The sequence below is a fragment of the Homo sapiens genome, chromosome X (genome assembly GCF_000001405.40).
Source record: "Homo sapiens chromosome X, GRCh38.p14 Primary Assembly".
NCBI lineage: Eukaryota > Metazoa > Chordata > Mammalia > Primates > Hominidae > Homo > Homo sapiens.
Window position 1 is genome coordinate 98,722,359 of NC_000023.11, and position 12,485 is coordinate 98,734,843.

Genomic DNA, 12,485 nt, shown 5'->3' on the forward strand with positions numbered 1-12,485 from the left:
AATACCAGACCTGTCCTACAAGAAATGGTCAAGGAAATACAGTCAGAAAGAAAGTACATTAAGTAGCAGTAAGTAATCACCTGAAGGTACAAAACTCACTGGCAATAGTAAGTAATAAAAAAAAAATGCAGAAAAGTATAACACTGTAACTGTGGTGTGCAAACTACTCTAATCCTATGTAGAAAGACTAAACAGTGAGCCAATTAAAAATAATAACTACAACAACTTTTCAAGACATAGGGAGTTCGATAAGGTATAAATAGAAAAAACAGAAAGTTAAAAAGCAGAGAACAAAGTGAAGGCATAATGTTTTCATTAGGTTCCTTTTGGCATGTTAGTTTGTTTATGCACACAGTGTTAAGTTGTTATCAGGTTAAAATAATGGGTTGTAAGGTAGCATTTGCAAGCCTCATGGTAACTTCAAACCAAAAAATCATACAATGGATACATAAAAAACAAAAAAGCAAGTAACTAAATCAGATCATCAGAGAAAATTACCTCAGCTAGCAGAAGACAGAAAGGAAAGAAAGAAGAGAGACAATTTTAAAATTTGAAAACAAATGATAATGGCAGGAGTGAGTCCTTTCTTATAAAAAAATAATATTAAATGTTAATAGACTAAACTTTGTAATCAAGAGACATCGTCTGGGTGAATGGATGAAAAAATAAGTCCCAATGATCTGTTACCTACAAGAAACACACTTCATCTATAAAGACACACATAGACTGAAAACATAAAAAGATGGAAAAAGATATTCCATGCCAATGGATACCAAGAAAGAGCAGGAGTAGATATACTTTTATCATATAACATGAATTTCAAAACAAAATGTATAAGAAGAGACAAAAAAGCACTATATAGTAACAAAGGGGTCAATTCAGCAGGAGGATATAACAATCGTAAACATATATGCACCCAACACTGGAGCACCCAGATTTATAAAGCCAATATTAGAGTTAAGGAGACAGATAGGCACAAATACAATCATAGCTAGAGATTTCAACACCCCACTTTGAGCACTGGACTGAACTTCTAGACAGAAAATTAGCAAAGAAACATCAGATTTAATCTACACTATAGATAAAATGGATCTAGCAGATATTTACAGAATATTTCACCCAACAGCTGCAGAATACACATCCTTTTCCTCAGCACATGGATCATTCTCAAGTTTAGACCATATTTTAGGTCACAAAAGAAGTCTTAAAACATTCAAAAAAATTGAAATAATATCAAGCATCTTCTCTGACCACAATGGAATAAATTACAAATTAATAACAGGAGGAATTTTGGAAACTATACAAATACATGGAAATTAAACAATATGCTCTTGAAGAAACTAAGAAGGAAATTGAAAAATTCTTTGAAACAAATAATAAAGGAAACACAATATACCAAACCTGTGGGATGCAGTGAAAGCAGTACTAAGAGGGAAGTTTATAGCTATAAGTGCCTACATTAAAAAAGAGAAATAACTTCAAATGAACAATCTAATAATATATCTTAAAGAACTAGAAAAGCAAGAGCAAATCGAACCAAAAATTAGACAAATAAAAAGAAATAATTAAGATCAGAGAAAAAATAAAATTAAAATAAATATAAGACAATAAATCAATGAAATATAAAATTGTTTTTGAAAAGTTAAACAAAATTGACAAATTTAGCCAGACTAAGAATAAAAGTGAGTAGATCCAAATAAATAAAATCAAAAATGATACAGAAGATATTATAACAGATACTACAGAAGTTCAAAGGATCATTAGGGGCTACTAACAGCAACTACATGCCAATAAATTCGAAAATCTAAAAAAAAATAAAAAATAAACAAACTCCTAGACACATACAACTTACCAAGATTGAACCAGGAGAAAATTCAAAATCTGAACAGACCAATAACAAGTAACAAGATTGAAGCCTAATTTTCTCCCAGCAAAGGAAACCTTAGTACCTGATGGTTTGACCTCTGAATTCTACCAAACACTTAAGGAACTAGTAAAAATCCTACTTAGAGTGTTTCAATAAATAAAGAGGGAGAGAATAATTTTAAACTAATTCTACAATGCCAGTATTACCTTAATACCAAAAACCAGACAAAGACACATCAAAAAAACAAAACTACAGGCCAATATCTTGATGAATATTGAAGTAAAAATCATCAACAAAATGCTAGCAAACAGAATGCTCAAGACATTAGAAAGATCATTTGTCATGACCAAGCGGGAATTATCACTGGGATGCAAAGATGGTTCAAGATATACAAATCAAACAATGTGATACATCATATCAACACAATGAAGGATAAAATCTGCTTGATCCGTTCTGCTATTAAAGGACTCTGATGCATTCCTCAGTATGCCAATTGTATTTTTCACCTCCAGACTTTCTGCTTGATTTTTAAAAATTATTTCATTCTCTTTGTTAAAATTATGTGATAGAATTCTCAATTTCTTCTTTGTGTTATCCTGAATTTCTTTGAGTTTTCTCATCACTATTTTGAATTCCCTTTCTGAAAGGTCATATTTTTCTGTTTCTCTAGGATTGGTCCCTGGTACCTTATTTAGTTCATTATGTGAAGCCATGTTTTCCTGGAGGGGTTGATGTTAGTAGATGTTCTTTGGTTTCTGGGCATTGAAGAGTTAGGTATTTATTTATTGTAGTCTTCACTATCTGGGCTTATTTTTAGCCATCATTCTTAGGAAGGCTTTCCAGATGTTTGAAAGGAGTTGGTGTTGTAATCTAAGCTGTATGTGCTTTAGGGGGTCTCCCCAAGCCCAGTAATGCTGTAGTTCTTGCAGACTCATAGAGGTACCACCTTGATGGTCTTGGGCAAGATCTGGGACAATTCTCTGGATTACCAGAGAGAGACTTTCATTTTCTTTCCTTTCTCCCAAACATACAGAGTCTCTCACTCTCTTCTGAGCCACATAACGCTGGGGATGGAGTGACCCAAGCAACCCTGTGGATACCAACACTATGATTGCTGTAGGTTAAACCTGAAGCCAGCAGAGCACTGGGTCTCACCCAAGTCCTGCTGTAACCACTCCCTGGTGAATGCCTGTGTTGGTCAAGGCCCTAGGGCTCTACAGTCAGCAGGTGGCAAACCCAGCCAGACCCATGTCATTCCCTTCTGGGTGGTGAGGTCACCGAGGCCCTGAGTGGGTCCACAACTACCATCCAGGAGTCAGAGACTAGGGTCAAACGCCTCAGAAGTCTATCTTGTGTTCAATTTTATTATGACAGAGCTGGTATTCAAACTGCAAGATGCAGTTTTTCCCAGTCTTCTCTCCCATTTCCAATGGCAAAGGAGCCTCATCATATAGCCACCACCATTCCAGGCCATGATGAGTACTACCAGACTACCACTGATCACTGATATTCCCTTAAAGCCCAAAATCTCTCTCTCTCTCTTGTTTTCTTTTTCTTTTCCTTTTTTTTCTTTCTTTCTTTCTTTCTTTCTTTTTTTTTTTTTTTTGAGATGGAGTCTCACTGTGTCGCCCAGGCTGGAGCGCAGTGGTGCGATCTTAGCTCACTGCAACCTCTGCCTCCTGGGTTCAAGCAATTCTCCTGTCTCAGCCTCCTGAGTAGCTGGGATTACAGCCACCCACTACCACACCTGGCTAATTTTTGTACTTTTAGTAGAGATGGGGTTTCACCACATTGGCTAGGCTGGTCTCCAACTCCTGACCTCAGGTGACTCACCAGCCTTGGCCTCCCAAAGTGCTGGGATTACAGTCGTGAGCCACCATGCCTGACCCAAAATCTCTTAAGTAAGAGTGCTGTGAATGCTTCCAGGGCTGGGACTAACACTTCAGGGCAGTGGGCTCCTCTCTGGACCAGGGCAGGTCCAGAAATTCCATCCAAGTGTCAAGTCTTAGAATTGAAGACACTAAGAACCAGCTTGGTGCTCTACCCTCCTGTTGCCATGCTGGTAACTAAGGTGCAAAACAGAGCCCTTTTTACATTTTTCTTTGCTTTTCTCCAGCAAAAGAAGTTCTGCCTTATAGCTACCACATCTGGTAACATGTTGAGTCTCACCTGAAAGCAGCCAGGCTCACCCAAAACCATTAATATCGTAGTACCTTGGTATCATTCCTGTTTATTCAGGGCCAAGGGGCTCTTCGGCTAGCAGGTGATGAATGCTGGCAGGACTGGGTAATTTCCTTCAAAGCAGGGCAGGTTCCTTTCTGGCCCAGGCTGTGTCTAGAAATGTCCTCTGGGAGCAAGGGCCTGGAACAGGGGCCTCATGAATCTGACCCAGGGCCCCATGATAGTGCCACATCCTGCTGTGGCTTTGGTAGTTACCAAGCAGCAAGGGAAAGTCCTCCTACTATTCTCTCTCCTCTCTTTAAGTGGAAGAACGGAGGAAGGGGTTTCTTTTGGAGCCACAAGCTGTGCAGACTGAGGTTAAGGGAAAGGTAATGCCAACAATTCTTTGGCTGCCCCAACTGATATCTCAGTATATCACAAGCCTCTGCAACCAGTCCACCATATATGGGCTTAGTTCAGCACTAGGACTTGCCTATGAGTTGCAGTCTTTATGGCCTAGACTGCCTTTCAAGTATACTTGGAGACACAGACGTTGTGGCCCTGGATGTCAAAGTGTGTAGGTATTCATGCTTGGACCACTGGGATTGGCAATTGCCCACTGGCTAGAGTTGTTTAAATGCTCCTTCCATGGGCAGGCATCAGCTGAGTTTGGTCCGGTTTTCCATTCTGTTCTAACAGGACATCACTGAATTCAATGCCTCGTAATTGCTGTGTTCTCCCTCCCCCAGTGCCCAGAGATGCTCTGCACTAGGCCACTGCTCTTGGGGCCGGGAAGAGAGGTGACATTGGCAATTCAGGACTGTTTTTTATTGTATTTTATTTTATTTTTTTATCTCTTCAGTGCCTCTTTTAATGATATGAAGTTAAAAACCATGTACTACGACTGCTCACCTGGTTTTCAGTTTTTATGAAGATGTTTTTTCTGTATAGATACTTGTTAACTTGGTGTCCTTGCAGGGTGTACAATTAGTGGAGCTTTCTATTCTGCCATCTTTCTCCATCTCCCTCTGTTTTGAGTATTTATAACTGCATATAAATGGTACAATTTGCAACTTTGTGCCTTGCTCAACACTATATTTTGAATATTTTCATGCTGACATATGTGAATCTATATTATGTATTTTCACTTTAAGGTAGCATTCTGTTGAATTAATATAGCACAATCATCCTTTCTTTTTTTTTCATTTTTTGGCATACGTGAGTGCTGTCTTCACTGTTTTGCTCTTCACAATATTCTATGAACATTCTTCTATACATCTACTTATATACATGTGTACAGATTTCATTGAAGTGTATACTATTTAAATTTATCACAAAGAGGAGGTATAGCAAGATGGTGAAATATAAGGCTTCATAAATCGTCCCCCCAGCAAGGGCACCAAATTAACAACTATCTACACAGAAAAACCACCTTTGTCAGAACCAAAAATCAGGTGAGCCTCATAGTTCCTTGTTTTTAATTCATGTTGCTGAAATAGGCATAGGAGAGATAGAAAAAGAAGTCTTGAATTGCATACACCACTCCTCCCCCAACCCCCAGTGGGTTTTTCTATTCTATTGCATTGCTAGGCTGCAAGTTTTCTGAACTTTTATACTCTGTTTCCCTTATAAAACTGAATGCCTTTAACAGCACTCAAGTCATATCTTGAATGCTTTGCTGCTTAGAAATTTCTTCTGCCAGATACTATAAATCATCTCTCTCAAGTTCAAAGTTCCACAAATCTCTAGAGAAGGGGCAAAATTCTGCCAGTCTCTTTGATAAAACATAACAAGAGTCACTTTTGCTCCAGTTCGCAACAAGTTTCTTATTTCCATCTGAGACTACCTCAGCCCGGACTTTATTGTCCATATCATTATTAGCATTTTCGTCAAAGCATTTAACAAGTCTTTAGGAAATTCCAAATTTTCCCACATTTTCCTGTCTTCTTCTGAGCCTTCCATACTATTTGAACTCCTTCCTGTTTCCCAGTTCCAAAGTCGCTTCCACATTTTCAAGTATCTTTTCAGCAATGCCCCGCTCCCGGTACCAATTTGCTGTGTTAGTTCATTTTCTTGCTGCTGATAAAGATAAACTCGAGACTGGGCAATTTATGAAAGAAAGAAGTTTAATAGACTTACAGTTACACATGGCTGGGGAGGCCTCATAATCATGGCGGAAGGCAAGGAGGAGCAAGTGACATCTTATGTGGATAGCGGCAGGCAAAAAGAGTATGTACAGGGAAACTCCCCCTTTTAAAAACATCAGATCTCATGAGACTTATTCACTATCATGAGAACAGCATGGGAAAGACCTTCCCCCATGATTTAATTACCTCCCACCAGGTCCCTCCCACATGAAGTGAAAATTCAAGATAAGATTTGGGTGGGGACACAGCCAAACTGTATCAGCGTATGTAGTATATAGTGTGAAGTCATGAATAGAAATAATATAAATAAAAATCAGCATAGTTATTTTTCCAGAGTAAAAGGAAGAGAATCTGATTTGTGAGGGTATACAGAGGTCTTCACTTTGTTCATTTTACTTATTCCTTAAGCTGAATTGGGTTGATATGGTTTGGCTGTGACCGCACCCAAATCTCACCTTGAATTGTAATAATTCCCATGTGTCAAGGGTGGGGCCAGTTGGAGATAATTAAATCATGGGGTTGCTTTCCCCCCATAATGTTCTCCTGATAGTGAATAAATCTTATTAGATCTGATGGCTTTATAAATGGGAGTTCCCCTGCACACACCCTCTTGCCTGCCAGCATGCAAGACATCTCTTTGCTCTTTCTTTGCCTTCCACCATGATTGTGAGGCCTCCCCACCATGTGGAACTTTGAGTTCATTAAACCTCTTTTCTCTGTATATTACCCAGTCTTGGGTATGTCTTTATTAGCAACATGATAATGAACTAATACAAGGATGTATACATATGCTTTTTTTAAAATTAGGCTTTAATTTTTTGCCTTATAAATTTGATGATATATAAACTACTTCTCAATAAATGTTAAAAAAATTAAAAATTTTCTAAAAGAGAGAAAGGTCTTTGAACACAGCACATTTATTTTGTTTCATGGACCCAGTAAATATTAGTTGAGGCCGAGAAGAAGAAAGGGACTTTGATTGCTCTACCTCTTTGCCTGCTTAAGTTGATACAAGTGAAAATCTCTGGTGTTCATCATTTAATTTTGTCAGAAGCCATTCTCTTCAGTTTCATTGCATCTGATGTTATGATTTTTTGTATGTTGAGTTTAATTATTTGTAGCAAAAAGCAAACAGATACTTTCTCAAAGTCTATGTTTTAAAGATTTATAAAATTTGTCTTTAAATATTAACAATATGTTTTAAAAAGATAAAAATCCAAGATTCTCTGATCAAATATTTTGAACATTCTTTAATAAAAATCTGACCCCAAATTATTTGCTCTTAGCTGAATCAGAAAGATTTCTAAAATATTAATAAGCTAGAATGTTATCTTTCTATTTAATAGGATAGAATGGTTCTAAATATCCTATAAGCTTATCTGTTCCTTTTATATTATAATGTCCAGCAAATAAAAATATGATCCAAACTCACACTTTATCGTCTTTCATTTATTTACCCTGTTCGCTAAAATACATGAAAACTTTCATTAAGTATGCATGATTCATATGAGAATACTCATTGGGCATACAATGGATCTGTATAAAAAAGTTTTAATGTTTATTTATGAAATACTATTTTGGCTAGAAGGTGCCAATCAATTAACTTCACCAAAACCTGATGGCTCTTAAAGTTCCAACTAACATATTTCAATTAAAGAGGCTGGATGACCATTCAACACTATATTTAAAAAGCATCATGAAAGCTGTACTAATAATAAGACAAAACAACTTTTTGCATGCAGTATGATTTTTATCAGCCTGAGTGTTTAATGAGATTGTAAGAGTGAATTGTTAAGAACAATCTCAGCAGAAATACAACCATGTTACCCTGACTCTCTGTGTACAGTAGACATCCAGAATTTACACAAAAGATTATTCTCCAAACAAAGGTCATTCTAGATAAATAAGTATCTTAGTCAGTCTGGGTTACTATGACAGAATGCCATAGGCTGGGTGGCTTAAAGAACAAACATTTATTTCTTACAGGTCTGGAGGCTGGGAGTCCAATGTCAAAGCACCAGCAGATAAAGTGTTTGGTGAGGGCCTGCTTCTTCATTTATAGATGTCCATATTTTCTTTGTGTCTTCATGTGACAGAAAGAAGGCTAGAGAGCACTCTATGGTCTCTATTATAAGAGCAGTAAACCCACTCATGAGGGATCCACCTTCCAAAGACTCTACTTTCTAATACCATCACATTGGGGGTTAAAATTTGAAGATATGAATCTTGGGGACATGCAAACGTTCAGTCCCTAACACTAAGACACTCATAGAAACTAAGTTAGGTAGTACCTTTTAGGCAGAAACTCTCTCAAAATGCTGTATAGCTCTACTAAATAGTTACCCACTGATCCAAAAGACTGAATATATCATTCAAAGTTGAGCACACTTAGAGAATAAGCATAGTCATATGGTGAGGTCTTTTTTGTTGCCACCTAATATATATTGCTACAATAAAAGGAAAACATTTTGTTTAAAACTTTGTAATTGCATTTGGCAAGATTCCCTATCCTCTTGTCTGTAAGAACTAATCAGAATTCACAGTGACTGTTAAACAGAAACAAATTGAAAGTGTAAGCTTACCATTGAAAAGAAGACATAAGGATACTGCATTATTGCCAGTGGTGAGAAGCAAAATAGGTATAAACACACACACACTCAAACACACACACACACACACACACACACACACACACGGAGAGAGAGAGAGAGAAAGAGAAAGAAATAGTTGGGATCCAAATATCCCATTATACAATATTGTTTAATAATATCTTTGCTTCCACAGCTTTTGTGAGTGAAATTAAACTAGAAATAGAAATTAAACTAAAGAAATAGACACACTGCATTTTCTGTCTTTCTTGTTCAAATATCCTTTTCAATAAATATTATCAACAAATTTTAATTTACAATTTTGAATGTCTCAGTTAATGCTCCTTACCTTCCCCCAATCCTGTGCCCAGCAACCACTTCATAGTTATTTGTATTTATTTGTATTCCAGGATTATGAAGTACACATTAACAATGAAGCCTCTTTTCAAGTAAAGAAGTGAGTAGTGAGTATCTCTGTGGTCACAATTACAGTCCTGTCTTGGTGGGTAATTGGATAAAATAGGGGCCAGGACAGTAATCCGCAGATCTGCATAGGAAGTATTTGCCAGGCTAAAAGCAAAGTAATGCCATATCCAGGTTATCAACTAATTCTCTGGGGCACGCTAAAGGAAAGCTGCCGTCTTGAATTGAGGAGACAAGAATGGGAGAAACCATTGATACGAGTCTTTTGGAGAAAGGAGTTAAGAGGAATCTCAGTTTAAGGAAAGAGTACTCCCAATCTTTGTTGATCAAAAAGCAACTAATAAAGGTATTTTAGAATTTAAGAAAGGTCTCATAGTTTCTATACTGTTGCCATTATAAGGAACTCAAATATCATGAGAGAGTAAACAGGCTCTTACAAATGGAGCAAGTTAATGTTTAACATACTTAAACATGTTGCCTAAAACAGCCTCTCTAAGGGTTGTGAATATGTCCCTCCACTCCGCAAGTTGTTTGCACAAACAGTGATGGAACAAATTGTGTTAGATCACAGTTTAGTATAAATTTCAACTGAGTGTCAGTTGTTCCCAACTTGAATCACCCTTCTGGGTAAAACCATTTTCCAAAAAGAAAGTAAGATTGATTCACTGTATGTGTTTTTTAATTAGTTAATTATTTTTAATATTGTATGTGTTTTTTTTTCAACCATATCCTAAATGTGTCTTAGGATTCTGCAAGGTTCATTGCAACAAACAGAATAGGTTAGAATTGGTTGTTTGGCTTATTCCTTCTGATTTCTTTTTTTTTATTTTTTTGAGACGGAGTTTCGCTCTTGTTGCCCAGGAGGAGTTCAATGGCGCAATCTCGGCTCACTGCAGCCTCTGCCTCCTGGATTCAAGCAATTCTCCTGCCTCAGCCTCCTGAGTAGCTGGGATTACAGGCGCCTGCCACCACACCAGGTTAATTTTCTGTATTTTTGGTAGAGACGGGGTTTGGTCATGTTGGTCAGGCTGGTCTCAAACTCCTGGCCTCAGGTGATCTGCCCGCCTTGGCCTCCCAAAGTGCTGGGATTACAGATGTGAGCCACCACACCTGGCCCTCTTTCTGATTTCTTAACAAGCATTTCCTGAATGCATACTACAATACAGTACTGCCATTTTTTTAGCTCCAAAACTATCCAATCATTTTATTTGATTTATCATGTATCATATTTCAGGCAACCTGTTTAAATCAACCATTTATCATACCTGCCCACCTGTCAAGTCCTGAATGAAGAAGACTTTTCTTTAAAAAAACTTTTTTTGTTCACAGATTATTTTTTGTAAATGCTAGAACACCAATAGTAGTTCATGGCATATAAAGCTCACTTGGCTTAAGGTAGATGGTAAATATACTTCTTTCAGATACATTGAAAGAAAAGACCAAAATTGGACTTTGATGCTCTTTAAATCTTTATAACGCACTATATATTTTTAAAAATAATTGCATCATATTAATAAAAAATAATATGTGAAATTATATGACAAGTCTAGATAACAATATGCATTTCAAGCTTCCTTTATATATATTCATAAGAAGACATCCTGCTATTGTTATTTGTCATATTGTTTCTTAGGGGTATGTTATTACATACTTATTACTACAATTAACAGTTATACAAATATTGAAGAATTTTTACCTTATACATTACAATCTAATTTTTTAATAACAATTTTACTGAGGTATTATTCACATACCATAAAATTAACTAATGATTTTTTTTAGTATAGTCATCGAGTTGTGAAGCCATCACTATTATCTAATTCCAGAACATTTCCATCACCCAAAAAGGAAACCTCATACTCATTACCACTTACTTACTCTTTCTTCCATAGCCCAATCTTAGGCAACTACTAATCTATCATTCTTCATTCTGTACATTTTGTTTAAATGAAATTGTATACTATGTGACCTTTTGTGCGTCTGGTTTCTTTCACTTAGCATAATGTTTTCAGGGTATATTTATATTGTAAAAGGTATCAGTATCTCTTTTTTTTTTTTTTTTTTTTTTTTTGAGACGAAGTCTTGCTCTGTTGCCCAGGCTGGAGTGCAGTGGCGTGATCTCAGCTCACCGCTAGCTCTGCCTCCCGGGTTCACGCCATTCTCCTGGCTCAGCCTCCCGAGTAGCTGGGACTACAGGCGCTTACCACCATGCCCAGCTAATTTTTTGTATTTTTTAGTAGAGATGGGTTTTCGCCTTGTTAGCCAGGATGGTCTCGATCTCCTGACTTCGTGATCCACCCGCCTCGGCCTCCCAAAGTGCTGGGATTACAGGCATAAGCCACTGCGCCCGGCCCAGTATCTCATTTTTTAATTGTCAAATAACGTTCCATTTGTCTATCCATTCATCAGTGCATGAACATAGGGGTTGTTTCCATATTTTGACTACTATGAGCAATACTGCTGTAGACATTCATGTCCAAGTTTTTGTGTGAACGTATGTTTGTAATTATGTTGGGTATATATCTAGGAGTGAAGTTTCTGGGTTATATGGTTATTCTACATGCAACTTTTTGAGAGACTGCCAAACTATTTTCCAAAGTGACTGCATCATTTTACTGAGACATTAAATTTTAAAAGTCATATAATTATCAGAATTATTACATTCAATGTATAATCCTTAATATCTCATGAACACTAGTATTTTTGTAATATATAATAGTTCAGAAAATCTAGCTAAGTCTCCCTATTTCGTTTTCAACTCAGTGTGTATTTGATTATCCCCTGGGTATGTCCAGTGTTTTGTAAGGTATGAAGGTAGGAATTGGAATTTATAGTCATAGTCTATATTACATAGTCATGTCTATAGTGCCTATTCATTTATTTGAAATAAATATGTTTATTCTCAAATGGAAATTGTCTTTGTAGAGGACATTTTATGTTCATGAAATATCAAAATAAAAGTGTTTGTTAATCTTTTTTGTTTAGTAAGGGAATGAGATTGATTTTTTTTTTTTTTTGTGGCTGGAAATAAAGACAGAATTGAGATTTTGAGGTCCCATTTAGACTTTAATAATTTATTTAATTTAATATTTTAAGTTACTTCTCTGCATTTGAATGTTATAATTGTTAGAGGTACTCTCTTAGAGGTACTGGAAAACTTTGTTAATTAATCCCACAAAATACTGATAAGGCCTCAAAACAATAGACTTATGTAAATCTTATGATATGTAACATAATGTGACCAAAAGAATTTTACTACTTTTTTCTGTGTTTTAAAAAGCTGTTTAACTCTCCTATAAA

General features: G+C 36.5%; 1 long non-coding RNA gene across 2 annotated transcripts in view; it reads left to right on the top strand.

The window, feature by feature from the left end:
• The window catches only part of LINC03077 (long intergenic non-protein coding RNA 3077), a 293,892-nt gene that overhangs the window by 148,486 nt on the left and 132,921 nt on the right, over positions 1-12,485 (top strand). The gene's annotated exons all lie outside the window — the stretch shown is intronic.